This window comes from Homo sapiens, chromosome 1, assembly GCF_000001405.40.
Source record: "Homo sapiens chromosome 1, GRCh38.p14 Primary Assembly".
NCBI classification, from domain to species: domain Eukaryota; kingdom Metazoa; phylum Chordata; class Mammalia; order Primates; family Hominidae; genus Homo; species Homo sapiens.
Window position 1 is genome coordinate 24,216,840 of NC_000001.11, and position 14,662 is coordinate 24,231,501.

At 47.8% G+C, this 14,662-nt stretch overlaps 2 annotated features.

Annotated features, from left to right (window-relative positions):
* Positions 9,945–10,164: an enhancer, noted in NCBI's record as "active region_392". NCBI's record gives its function as "activates an Ori minimal core promoter by ATAC-STARR-seq in GM12878 lymphoblastoid cells {active_cell/tissue: GM12878}" and the evidence as "EXISTENCE:reporter gene assay evidence [ECO:0000049][PMID:35858748]".
* Positions 11,462–11,521: an enhancer, noted in NCBI's record as "active region_393". NCBI's record gives its function as "activates an Ori minimal core promoter by ATAC-STARR-seq in GM12878 lymphoblastoid cells {active_cell/tissue: GM12878}" and the evidence as "EXISTENCE:reporter gene assay evidence [ECO:0000049][PMID:35858748]".

Consider the following 14,662-nt stretch of genomic DNA (forward strand, 5'->3'; position numbering starts at 1 on the left):
CTGGGAAACCCCGGAATGGCAGGTCCTCCTCTTTCCTCCCACAAAGCCCAGGGTTTACAGCTGCTCAGGAGGGCAAAGAGGGTGGCTCTCGAGTGGGACTGCCTAGCTCTGAGTCCTGGCTTGGCTGCCTCCTACACCTACAAGCCATGTGACCTCAGACAAGTTACTTCCCGCTGTGTGCCTCAGTTTGCTACCCTGTAAAATGGGGATGATAGTGGTTCTACCTGATAGGTTTGCCTGAGGAATGAATGAGCTGCTATGTGCAAAGCTTAAAATACCTGACAAGTAGTGAGGGCTCCATAAATTATAGCAGTTCTTAGGGTTGCCCTGGGCTTGGACAAGATAAAGAACACAATCCCAGAGGGGTGCTGCCTGAGTTCAAGGACCAGCTCCACCCCGTACCACTCAATCCCTGAGTGCCTTGGGGAGATCCTCTCTAGCAGAACCCCCCTCCCAGGATTGTGGGTCCTACAGGGTCTGTGCCTGGAACAGAGGCATGAGTACACAGTGGATGTTGACTGATGGAAAAACAGTGGTTCTTCCTTACCTGGGCTCCCTAAATCCAGTCCAGGCCTCCAACCTCAGTCCAGCCTGAGAGGGACTGTCAGGCTTAGTCCACATTCATCATGATGGTGCCTGAAATTCCACCATTATTGCTTCACTTCTTTGGCTTAAGACTTCATCCTGGTTAAAATACAGAGAGCCCAGAAAAGGGTCACCCATCCAGTCTTCTGTCATTTATCCCTAGTGTAAAGGAGTTTGTTAGCTGTTTTTCTGAGAGCAGGTATGGGAAGGGCAAGCATGCCCTCCCTCCAGGCCCTCCCCTCCTCTGCTTAGACCCTCAGGACTTCTGCTGCCTGCTGAGGGGAGTCCCGGCTCCCCAGCCTGGCCTGCAGCCCATATGGGGTCTGGTCCCCCACGTGCCTCTTGTGCGCATTCTCAACAGGCACACTTGCTCCCATGGCCAGCCTAGATTTCTCCTTCCCACTCATTTGGGCTTTCTGGCCCTGGTGCCTTTGCTCATTTAAGCCCTGCCATCAAAATTCCGTCCTATCCCCCTGCCCCACCTTGCAGTTCTTTGCCTCTCTTGGAAGCTCTGTGTCAAAGATTCTTAATCTCAGTGCACTCCTGACATTTGGGGAGGGATAATTTTTTTTTTTTTTTTGAGACAGAGTCTTGCTCAGTCACCCAGGCTGGAGTGCAGTGGCGCCATCTCAGCTCACTGCAACCTCCGCCTCCCGGGTTCAAGCGATTCTCCTGCCTCAGCTTCTGGAGTAGCTGGGATTACAGGTGCCTGCCACCATGCCCAGCTAGTTTTTGTATTTTTAGTAGAGACGGGGTTTCACCATGTTGGCCAAGCTGGCCTCAAACTCCTGACCTCAGGTGATCCACCCGCCTGGGCCTCCCAAAATGCTGGGATCACAGGCACCACCTTCTCAGGGGCCTCCCCAGCCTCCCCACCTATGACCTTCTCCCCCAGCAAGTTGCTCTGTTTCTTTATCCCACTTTATTTTCTTCGCAGCCTTTATCGTGATCAGAAACTATGCTCTCTGTGTACTCACTTCCTTGCCTCTTCATAGTCTTCCCCAACCAGAATGGGCAGCTTCTCATGCAGGGGACTCTGTCCTGTCTACTGCTGCTCCCTCAGAGCCAAAAACTGTACCTGGCACACAGCAGGTATCCATGCCCAGCCCAGGGCGGGATAGTAGTTGATTGTGGGGACTGTTCTGCTCATTGTAGGATGTTCAGCACGTCTCTGGTTTCTACCCACTAAAAGCCAGCTGCATCTGTCCAGATTGACAAGCAAAAATGTCTCCAGACATTGCCAAATGTCCCCAGAGGATGGCAGTTACAGTGACCCCTGGTTGAGAACCACTCACTGGTGTATAGTATATTGCAAAGGGACTGGGGCACCTGGGGTCGCACCTGGCCCTGCTCCTGCTGGCTGTGGAACTTGTACGGGAGCTATGTGAGCCTTGCCTTCCTCAGTTGCAAAGTGGGCATAAAAAAGCCTGTCTCACAGATGACACTGACGAGTGATCATTGTCGCAAAGTACCGTATCTCACTTTTAATAGTTGCTTGAAAAATTGAAGCTAAAATTCAAATGACAGCAATGCAATCTGACTTGGGCTAAATTCTTCCTCCCCAGTTTTCCTCATTGCAGGAAATGGCACCCACTCCCCAACCCGGTTCAGCCAGGCCCCACACCCTGGAGTCTTCCTTGATTTCTTTTTTCTTTCTTTCTTTCTTTCTTTCTTTCTTTCTTTCTTTCTTTCTTTCTTTCTTTCTTTCTTTCTTTCTTTCTCTCTTTCTTTCTTTCTTTTTCTTTCATCTCTCTCTCTTTCCTTCCTTCCTTCCTTCCTTCCTTCCTTCCTTCCTTCCTTCCTACCTTCCCTTCCCTTCCCCTTCCTTCTTTGTTTCTTTCTTTGTTGCTTGCTTGCTTGCTTTCTTTCTTTCTTTCTTTCTCTCTCTCTCTTTCTTTCTTTCTTTCCTTTTTTATTTTTTTTGACAGAGTCTCACTCTGTTGCCCCGGCTGGAGTGCAGTGGCGCGATCACAACTCACTGCAGCCTCGACATCCTGGGGTTCAGGTCATCCTCTCACTTCAGCCTCCTGAGTAACTGGGACCACAGGTGTGTGCCACCATGGCTGGCTAATTTTTTTATTTTTTGTAGGGATGGGGTCTTGCCATGTTGCCCAGGCTGGTCTTGAACTCCTGAACTCAAGTGACCTGCCTGCCTTGGTCTCCCAAAGTGTTGGGATTACAGGCATGAGCCACCATGCCCGGTTATCTTCCTTAATTTCTATACCCCACATCTGTCATCAGCAAATGCTTTGGTACTGCCTCCAAAACCATCCAAAATCCAGCTGTTCACCCCAAATCTCTCTCTCCCACAGACAGCGTAGCAGCTCCGCATGAGCCTGATTCCACCCCACCCCTCCAATCCACTCTCCACAGGCAACCAGAGGGTCTTCTTCAGATGTGACTCAAATCAAATGCGCAGGCCTTATGGTGGTCTTTACCTGACCCAGCTCTGCCTACCTTTCCTCTGCCGGCCCGTGGGCATCATCCTCACTGGCCTTGTTCCTGAGACAGAATTGCCTGTAATCCAAGCACTTTGGGAGGCTAAGGCGGGAGGATTGCTTGAGCCCAGGAGTTCAAGACCAGCCTAGGCAACATAGTGAGACCCCGTCTCTAAAAAAAATAAAAAAGATGAGGCAGGAGGATCACTTGAGGCCGGGAGGTCAAGGCTGCAGGGAGCCATGATTGTGCCACAGCACTCCCGCACAGGTGATAGAGTGGGATCCTGTGTCACAAAAAAAAAAAAAAAAATTGCAACCACTGCCCCCATGGCCTGGGCACTTGGGTTTGCCTGCCTGGCACACAGGGTCTCAGCATCACCTGGCCAGGGTCTTCATGCCTTTCGTGTCCCTGCTCCCGCACCACCTCCTCAGGGGCCTCCCCGGACTCCCCACCTACAACCTTCTTCCCCAGCAAGTTGCTCTGTTCCTTTATCTCACTTTATTTTCTTCACAGCCTTTATCGTGCTCGGAAACTATGCTCTCTGTTTACTCACTTCCTTGCCTCTTCATAGTCTTCCCCAGCCAGAATGGTCAGCTTCTCATGCAGGGGACTCTGTCCTGTCTGCTGCTGCTTCCTTGGAGCCAAAAACTGTACCTGGCACACAGTAGGCACCTCATTAGTGCTCAGTGGAATGCAAGACTCCAGCCGTAAAGTATTGACCATCTTGGAAATGCAGCTCAGATGCCACCTGCCCCCACCTTCTCCCCAGAGCCACCAAAGCCTCTGTCTCTCTCTGTAGGCTAAGCCCCGTGGCCCTGTTGTCAGTTCCTTACGGAATGTGGCCCATTTTCTCAGACCCACAGTCAGCTCCTGGAGGGCAGGGTCAGGTCCTGCTGATTCCTGTATCCCCACTGAACATGGCACTTACTCACACCCATAGAGAAGGCTTGGAGTAAATACAGATAGGGGCAGTGGGTGCCCAGGAAGAAGTGCAAAGAGCCCCAGCATTTGCTGCTTGTTTTGGGGCAAACACACTTCATCTCTCATGCCGCAGGGATTAAAGATGGCTGCAAATTCTCCGACACGCCTCCCATGGACCTAAGGGGCCTGTAACTGCTTTGACCAACAGAAAACAGCAGAAGTGATGCTGGGCCAGGTCCTGGCTCAGACCCTGAGAGACTGCAGCTTCACTTCCTGTCATTTGGAGCCTTGAGCGGCCAGGTGAGAAGGCTGACCACCTTGCTGCTAGTGAAGAGGGGCCCCGGTGAGCCCAGCCTCACAACAGCCCCCACCGAGCTGTCAGGGGTGTGAGAAAAGCTGGTGGACCCTTCAGATGAGCTCAGTTGAGTATTTCCAAGTAACCTCAGTCAATGCTACATGAAGCCAAAGAATTGCTTGAATTCCTAACCCACAAAATAACAAGATATAATAAAATGCTGTCTTAAACCAACAACTTTGTAATAGGTTATTGGGACACATGTCAACTCTGATCTGTGGGAGATGGCTGCCTGAAACGCTCCCTTGGGCAGGCATCTGGAGCTGAGATGGGTTTGTTTTGGTGAAGAAGGGTTCTGTGATCTGTTAGTGATGTCTGCCATGAGCACAGGAGGGGAGATGGGGAGTTAGCTGTGCTGCACATTTCATATTCCTGGCAAATTGTATGTCAAGTACAGTAGGGCATAATTTAATTTAATTTAATTTTTTTTTCAAGACAGAGTCTTGCTCTGTCATCCAGGCTGGAGTGCAGTGGCACAATCTCAACTGACTGCAAGCCTCCGCCTCCTGGGTTCAAGGTGTTCTTGTGCCTCAGCCTCCCAAGTAGCTGGGATTACAGGTGCACACTACCACACCTGGCTAATTTTTGTATTTTTAGTAGAGACAGGATTTCGCCATGTTGGCCAGATTGGTCTTGAAATTCTGACCTCAAGTGATCCACACACCTTGGCCTCCCAAAGTACTGGGATTACAGGCATGAGCCAATGTGCCTGGCCAATTTTATTTAATTTTCATTGTTCGGACTTATCATCTTCATTTTATAAGTGAAGAGACTGAGGAACAGAGAGATTATGTAGCACATCCCAGCTAGAAGGTCCCTCAGCTAAAGGCGGGCAGAATAGGGTCTGTGGCCCCAAAGTCCACACTTTTCCCACGAAACTGGGTAAGAACACAGGTGTTCCCCAGAGGCAAAACTGTTGTCCACCGCAGGTTCACAGACCCCCTCTGTCCTGATTGATCATGGACCCCTCCCCATGCCTTCCGTCTTCACCAGCCCTCAGTCCTTGTGACTAGGTCTGGCTCTACTCAGGGACTGGGACAGCTGGCACCAGGCCAGCGTCACCAGTGGCCCCAAACTGCTGGGTTTCCCCTCTGTCATGGGAGGCTGGCACTTAGGTATCTCTCAAGGGTGGAACCAGGCAAGTTTATAAAGAGCTTAATGAAATACCCGTTTCACAGCTCTCAGAGCCAGGCAAAGCTAAGTGCTCTGTGCAAGGTTCTTAGAGAGCAATTAAGAAAACCTTTCTTAGGGGAGTCGGAAGCCTTGTGGTGGGGGTGGGGGTGGCAGGGAGTGGGAAGAGGGAGGAGCAGGGTTGACAGCTGAGGCCCAGCTCTACCCCTTCCTGGAGGTGTGATCTTGAATAAGCGATTTCGCCGTTCCTACCCTCAGTCTTTTCATCTAATTCAGGTGGGGATAATTAGACCTACCTTGCTTGGTAATTTTTAAGATAGAGGATTTAATTAAGTGAAGTGCTTTGAACAGTGCTTAGCGCACATTGGTGCTTACTAAACTTTTCTTATGAATGAATGAATGAGTGAATGAATGAATGAACAAGAATAACTGTTGACCGCGCTGAGCTGTATACGCGGGTCTGAATCCCATGCTGGTTTGGCTGGCTCTCTGCACTCACTATGCCTGGAACAGAGTAGTCACCTAATACATATTTGCTGAAAAAAATTCTTCTAAGTCCAACTTAAGGAAGTTTTCAGGCACACACACACAAAAATCATACACTGCATTCCAAAGTAGATAGAATTTATTCAGGTGGTGATAATACCTCAAGTCTTCAGACCCAGTATCAGGAAGCCTCATCTGTGAACCAGGAAGCAAGCAGAAAAGACCTCTGAACACACGAAAGTATAAAGTTCATGTGCCAATACCTATGACTTCTTTCCTAGAAATACCCTCTGACTCTCATTTGTAACCTAGTTACTCTTGGCTTACAAACAACTTTCATTAAGGTTTTCAAGCCCACCTTAGACTAGAAGAAGCAAGTTGGAGAGGAAGAAATCCTGGGAGATGGAGAAGTACTTGTACAGAAACAATTCCAGGTTGGGCACGGTTGCTCACGCCTGAAATCCCAGCACTTTGAGAGGCTGAGGTGGGAGGACTGCTCGAGCTCAGGAGTTCGAGACCAGCCTGAGCAACATGGCAAAACCCTGTCTCCACAAAATATACAAAAATTAGCCAGGTGTGGTAGCATCGCCTGTAGTCGCAGCTACTCGGGAGGCTGAGGTGAGAGGATGGTTTGAGCTCAGGAGGTCAAGGATGCAGTGAGCCATGATTGCACCACTGTACTCCAGTCTGGGCGACAGAGCATGACATTGTCTCAAAACAACAACAAAAACAACCAAAAAGACAAAACAAACAAACAAAAAAACAAACCAATTCCACCAGGAAGTTGGGCTTCATAGCCATAAAATAGGAATAACAAAAATTCAAGAAAACCCCACGATAATGTAAATCTGGTAAACTGCTATTGGCAATTTGGCTCCAGGTCCCTAGAAGTCAAGACCAGCTAGCTACGCAGGTGGCTGTACATAAGCTAATGCAAGATTGCATTTGAAACAATTGGAATTTGTGGGCCCCACTTTTAATGTTCTGGTGGGGTTTCTACTATGGCAATATTTCTCATTTATTGAGGGCTTCATATATTCCAGATGTTTTAGGTACATGTTCTCACTTAATCTTACAATCAACCTATGAGATGGGTACTGTTATCCTCTTAATACAGAGCATGGCTTCTAATCCTTGGCACTGTTGACTTGTTTGAGGGGCTGTCCCTTGTGTTGTAGGAAATTCAGCAGCATCCCTGACCTCTGCCCACCAGATGCCAGTAGGATTCTCCACCTTCCAGTCATGACAACCAAAATTGCCAGATGCCCCTGGCACAGAATTGGCCCCAGCTGAGAAAATGTTATAAATGTGGGAACTGAGGCTCAGAGAGGGTGAGAGTTGTCCAAGGTCACACAGCTTGCAAGTGGCTGAGCTGGGATTTATACCCAGGTCCACAGGTGCCAGACAGAGCACAAGCTCTGAAGCCCTGGAGGTTGTGCATAAGTTACTCCACAGAGATTGCCGGGAGGCTCCAATGGGATCATCTCCCAGAACAGAAGTCATAAGTGGCTGTTCTGAAGCCATCAGTGGCTGACGTAGGCTCATTGGGGATGACCTTTACACTTGGGGACAAATTCCCCTGAACTATATCCTTGGTCTCCCTGACTCTCTCCTCTCCTGCATTTCCATAGAGGTTTCCTTCTCACAATGTGGAAGCAGCAATGAAGGGCCATATCTGGGGCCTTGGTATCCCATTTTTGTTAGGCAACTGGTGTCTTTAAAGGGTGAATTTTGGGAAAAAATAATACCTCTCCTATCTGGGTTTATGGGACTACCATCTGAGCTGGTTGTCCTACTGAGGCCGTAAGTCAAGGAGGACAGTTAGGGTTAATGGAACCCAAGGACCCCAGTGAATTCAGCGGGGCCTGTGTTGAGGATTCCCAGGCTGTAAGTGGGCTCAGTGATGAGCAGGGCCATCTGGCCTGGGTACGAGAGGAGGAGTATGGCAGGCTGTTTCCATCCCCGCCTTGGGGCTAGAGGGAGTTGATCCTCTGGCAGGTCCTGAGTCAGGAAGGCAGGGCTTTGGCAGAGGAAGGGGCCTCTGCATCCTTCTGGGCCTCACTCACTGTGATCTGGGCCTGGCGGAGCTTGGGTGTTCTGGTGGGGGATGTTCTGAGGGATGGAGAGTGGCCTCCTGCACACGGAGGTAGACAGGGAGCTGAGTGCTTGCTGAGGCTGCTGAACCTGAGGCTGCTGAACCAAGGCTGAGGGGTGTGGCAGGTGACACAGGTAACTTTGTCTTGTGCTGCCGTCTGTGTTTATTTCCCTCCTATCTCCCTTCCCCCACCCAGGGACTTAGTGACTTCTTGTTTATTATAATAAAAATTTTTATTTTTTTGAGACAACTCTGTCAGTCAGGCTGGAGTACAGTGGTGTGATTATAGCTCACTGCAACCTCGATCTCCTGGGCTCGAGCGAGCCTCTCACCTCAGCCTCCCAGTAGCCAAGACTACAGATGCGCGCCACCACACCGGCTATATTTTTTGTATTTTTTGTAGAGACAGAGTCTCGCTATGTTGCCCAGGCTGGTCTTAAACTCCTGGGCTCAAGCGATCCTCCCACATTAGCCTCCCAAAGGGTTGGGATTACTGGTGTGAGCCCCCGTTCCTGGCCAACCTCTTGTTTAAAGGAGCTCAGCTGCACTATGGGGAATGAAGGCAAGAGCTCCGAGGCTGTGCTTTAAGCAGACCACCAAAGGGAGCTCTGTGCGCCCCTCCCCAAGACAGCAGGGATCAGTGAGAAGCCCCCAAAAGAGGCGGAATCTCGAAGGACAGGACTTGGAGCTGTCCCCACTCTGTTAACAACTGTGGAGGCGGAGGGCTTTGGCCAGAAGATTCCTACAGAAGCCACCCTCCCCAGGGTGAGCAGCTGGTTCAGATCTTGACCTAGAGGGATCGGGGAAGCACTCGAAACAATTTCACCATTATCTATAAGGATGGCTTCACACACATGTAACAGCCTACTGGGAAAGCTTTTTTTTTTTTAAGACGGGGTCTCACTCTGTCACCCAGGCTGGAGTGCAGTGGCGCCATCTCGGCTCACAGCAACCTCTGCCTCCCAGTTCAAGTGATTCTCATACCTCAGCCTCCTGAGTAGCTGGGATTACAGGTCTGTGCCACCACACCTGGCTAATTTTTGTATTTTTAATAGAGGCCTCAAATGCCTGGCCTCAAGTGTCCACCCACCTCGGCCTCCCAAAATGCTGGGATTACAGGCATGAGCCACATGCCTGGCCACCATACACTATTACCAGTGGTTTTTCCTGGGGAATAGAATTTTGCATAACTCGCCTCTACTTTTTCATTGTTTGTGTGCTTGCCTGTTAACAAACATAAAGTCAGTCTTCTATATCCCTGGGTGCCGTATCTGTGGGTTCAACAGACTATGGGCCGAAAATATTCAGAAAAAAGATGGGTGGTGCATCCGTACTGAACATGTACAGACTTTTTTCCTTGTGATTATTCCCTAAACAATACACGATGGCAACTAATTACACGACATTCATATTGTTAAGGTATTATAAGTAATCTAGAGATGATTTAAAGTACAGGCATACCTCGGAGACACTGCAATGAAGTGAATATCACAATACACTTGAGTCACACCAACTTTTTGGCCTCCCAGTGATGTGCACACTATACTGCAGTCTATTAAGTGTGTAATAGCATTATGTCTAAAAAACAATGTACCCATCTCAATTAAATAATACTTTATGGCTAAAAAATGTTAACAATCATCTGAGTTTTTAGTGAGTCATCATCGTTTTGCTGGTGGAGGGTCTTGCCTTGATGTTGGTGGCTGCTGACAGATCAGGGTGGTGGTTGCTGAAGGCTGGGGTGACTGTGACAATTTCTTAAAAAAAGACAACAGTAAAGTTTGCTACATCAATGGACTCTTCCTATCATAAAATATTTCTCTATAGCATGCGGTGCTGTTTACCATTTTATCCACGGTAGAACTTCTTTCAAAATTGGAGTCGATCTTCTTAAACCCTGCTGCTGCTTTATCAACCAAGTTTATGGAATATTCTAAATCCTGTGCTGTCAATGTCAACCATGTTCACAGTATTCACACCAGGAATAGGTTCCATCTCAAGAAACCACTTTCTTTGCCCATTTTTAAGAAGCAACTTCTCATCGATTCAAGTTTCATTATGAGATGGCGGCAACTCAGTCACATCTTCAGACTCCACTTCTAATTCTAGTTCTCTTGCTGTTTCGACCACACCGGCAGTGACTTCCTCTACTGAAGTCTTGAACTCCTCAAGGTTATCCATAAGGATCGGAATCAATTTCTTCAAAACACCTGTTAATGTTGATATTTTGACCTCCTCCCATGAATCACAAATGCTCTTAATAGCATCTAAAATGATGACTCCTTTCCAATAGGTTTTCAATTTACTTTGCCCAGGTCCATGAGAGGAATCACTATGTATGACAGCTGTAGCCTTACAAAATATATTCCTTAAATAACAAGACTTGAAAGTCAAAATTAAGGCCGGGCACGGTGGCTCAGGCCAGTAATCTCAGCACTCTGGGAGGCTGAGACAGGTGGATCACGAGGTCAGGAGTTCAAGACCAGCCTGGCCAAGATGCTGAAACCCTGTCTTTACTAAAAATACAAAAATTAGCTGGGCATGGTGGTGGGCACCGTAATACCAGCTACGTGGGAGGCTGAGTCGGGAGAATCACTTGAACCTGGGTGGCGGAGGTTGAAGTGAGCCGAGATCACGGCACTGCACTCCAGCCTGGGCAACAGAGCAAGACTCTGTCTGAAAAGAAAAAGAAAAAGAAAGTCAAAATTACTCCTTGACCAATGAGCTATAGAATGGATGTTGTGTTAGCAGGCAGGTAAACAACATTAATCTGGTATCTCTCCATCAGAGCTCTTCGGTGACCAGGTGCACTGTCAATGAGCAGTAATATTTTGAAAGGAATCTTTTTTTTTTTTTCCTGAGCAATAGGTCTCAGCAATGGGCTTAAAATATTTAGTCAAACATGCTATAAACAGATGTGCTGCCATCCAGGCTTTGTTGTACCATTGATAGAGCACAGGCAGAAGAGATGTAGCATAATTCTAAAGAGCCCCATAAATTTTGGAATGATGGGTGAGCACTGGCTTCAACATAAAGTCACCAGATGCATTAGTCCCTAATAAGAAAGTCAGCCTGTTCTTTTAAGCTTGGAAGCCAGGCATTGACTTCTCTCTAGCTATGAAAATCTTAGATGGCATCTTCTTCCAATAGAAGACTTTTGTCTACATTGAAAGTCTGTTGTTGAGTGTAGCCACCTTCATGAATGACCTTAGCTAGATCTGCTGGAGAACTTGCTGCAGCTTCTACATCAGCACTTGCTGCTTCGCCTTGCACTTGTATGTTATGGAGACAGCTTCTTTCCTTAAACCTCATGAACCAACCTGTGCTAGGGTCAAACTTTTCTTCTGCAGCTTCCTCACCTCTCTCAGCCTTCATAGAATTGAAGCAAGTTAGGGTCTTGCTCTGGATTAGGCTTTGGCTTTAGGGAACTGTGGCTGGTTTGATCTTCTATCTAGACCACTCAAACTTTCTCCATATCAGCAATAAGGCTGTTTCACCTTCTTATAATTTGTGTGTTCGCTGGATTAGCACTTTTAATTTCCTTCAAAAACTTTTCGTTTGGGTTCACAACTTGGCTCACTGGTGCAAGACGCCTAGCTTTTGGCTTATCTCAGCCTTCAACACATGCCTTCCTCACTAAGCTGAATGATTTCTAGCTTTCGGTTTAGAGTGAGAGACATGCAACTGTTCCTTTCACTTGAACACTTAGAGGCCACTGTAGAGTTATTAATTGGCCTAATTTCAATATTGCTGTGTCTCAGGGAATAGGGAGGCCTGAGGAGAGGGAGAGAGATGGGGAACAGCCAGTCTCTGGAGCAATCAGAACCCACACAACACTTATGGATTAAGTTTGCCATATTATATGGGCCCGGTTCGTGGCACCCCAAAGCAATTACAATAGTAACATTACCGATCACAGATCACTGTAACAGATATGATAATGAAAAAGTTTGAAATATTGCAAGAATGACCAAAATGTGATACAGAGACATGAAGTAGGATCATGCTGTTGGGAAAATGATGCCAGGAGACTTGACACGGAGTTATCACAAACCTTCCATTTGCGAAAAACAAAATATCTTCAAAATGCAATAAGATGAGGTTTGCCTGAATACAGGAGGAGGTGCCTAGGTTATATGCAAATGAGGAACCTGAGCATCTGTGGATTTTGGTATCTTCAGGGGGTCCTGCAACCAATCCCCCACAGATACTGAGGGATGAATGTATATTGCCTTGAGAATAAGAAAACAACCAAACATCTTAGTTTTAAAAAGTATATATTTTTTCTGAGTTTTGCATTTTTGCCCTATATTTTAAAATAATTTTTTTTTTTTTTTTTGAGACGGAGTTTTGCTGTTGCCCAGGCTGGAGTGCGGTAGTGCAATCTCGGCTCACTGCAACCTCCGCCTCCTGGGTTCACACCATTCTCCTGCCTCAGCCTCCCAAGTAGCTGGGACTACAGGCGCCCACCACCACGCCCGGCTAATTTTTTGTATTTTTAGTAGAGACGGGGTTTCACCATGTTAGCCAGGATGGTCTTGATCTCCTGACCTTGTGATCTGCCTGCCTCGGCCTCCCAAAGTGCTGGGATTACAGGTGTGAACCACCACGCCTGGCCTTATTTTAAAGTAATTCTTAAGCACATCACAACATTTGATTTGATTTGTATTTTGGAAGGTTGTTTTGCATAAGTGAAAACCTCCTGAAGTCTTATGACATGAGGTGAAGGGTGAAAAATGATCTTATTAAAAATACAAGGTAGAGGCCGGGTGCGGTGGCTCATGCCTGTAATCCCAGCACTTTGGGAGGCCGAGGCTGGCAGACACTTGAGGCCAGGTGTTCGAGGCCTGCCTGGCTAACATGGCAAAACCCTGTCTCTATTAGAAATAAAAAAATTGGCTGGATGTGGTGGTGGGCACTTGTAATCCCAGCTACTCGGGAGGCTGAGGCAGGAGAATCGCTTGAACCCAGGAGGCAGAGGTTGCAGTGAGCTGAGATTGCGCGATTGCACTCCAGCCTGGGCAACAAGCGAGACTCCATCTCAAAAAAAAAAAAAGAAAAGAAAAAAAACAAGGTAGAATATGTTTATAAAGTGGGAAATATGTTTTCCTCCCGTCTAATTAATGCAGAAGTTTCCAGAGTGTAAGAGATGCTGAGCCCTGTGCCGGGTGCTTCAGAGAGTGGTGCAGTGGCTGGGGACACGGCTCCAAAGCCTGACAGCCGGGTTCTATGGCCAGTTCCCACTCGATCACCAGTCACCATGGTGAAGTTTCTCAACCACCTAAGGCTCAGTTTTCTCATCTATAAAAAGAGAAGAATCATGCTGGTATCAGTGCAGGACACAGAAGCCATTCAGGGTGTGGTAAGCAAGAAGATTTAACACATGGAATGAGGGACTTTCAAAATGATTCGAAGGGCTGAGGGAGCAAGTTCTAGGTCAGGCCTCCAGAAGCTGTGTTTAGAATTGACCTTCTGGGGAGCTATTACCTCGGGCCCTGCTCAAGACAAACACCCCTAACTGCCAGTCAGGAGGTGGGAAGGCAGATTTAGAAGCCACCACTGCAACTGTTATTTATTTATTTACTCTTTTTTGTAGAGACAAGGTCTCACCATGTTGCTCGGGTTGGTCTCAAACTCCTGGACTCAAGCTATCTGCTCACCTCAGCCTCTCAAAGTGCTGGGATTACAGGCGTGAGCCACCGCACCTAGCGTGCAGCTGCCCGTTGGCACCCATGCATAACAGCCACTGGAATCTGCTGGAGAAAAATCTCGTATTTCCCCAACTTTGTGTGCCAGAAGAAACAACTAAAAAGAGAGGGGAAAGAGGCTTTTCCTCTTTTCCACCTACAAAAATCACACTAGAGCATCTAATTGGCAGAACCTAATTCATATCCAAAATCCTAGGCACAACGGAATCTAGGAAAAGTAGTTTTTAGTTTTCTAATCTTGTCAATAAAAGGTGACCTAAGCTGGGCGCGGTGGCTCACGCCTGTAATTCCAGCACTTTGGGCGGCTGAGGAGGGCGGATCACAAGGTCAGGAGATGGAGACCATCCTAGCTAACACAGTGAAACCCCGTCTCTACTAAAAATACAAAAAATTAGTGGGGCGTGGTGGTGGGCACCTGTAGTCCCAGCTACTCAGGAGGCTGAGGCAGGAGAATGGCATGAACCCAGGAGGTAGAGCTTGCAGTGAGCCGAGATAGCGCCACTGCACTCCAGCCTGGGCAACAGAGCGAGACTCCGTCTCAAAAAAAAAAAAAAAAAAAAAAAAAGGTGACCTAGTCTGGGTCCTGTGAGAACAAGGACAAGAAAGAATTAAACATGCAAGGATTTTACTAGGGGAAATGCCTGGGCAGAAAATAGGGAGAGAGCCAGGCAAGGCTTGGACAGCCCTCAGATTGCAAAGCAAGTTTGACTCTAAGGGAAGAAGAGATGAGAGAGGGTTGGGTAGTAGAGGCATTGTAGACTGTGCAAACTTGGAAAGTTTCTGCAAAGCCAGCTGGGAGTCCTTGAACCACAGCTGGTCGTGAAGCGAGTCCCACATCCCCAAGGAATGGGTCTGGTTAGTTAAGTATCCCTACTATACTCAGTCTTGGATGGGACCATCCCATGGGGATAGATTTCAAAGCACAGCCACTGAGACTCTGGG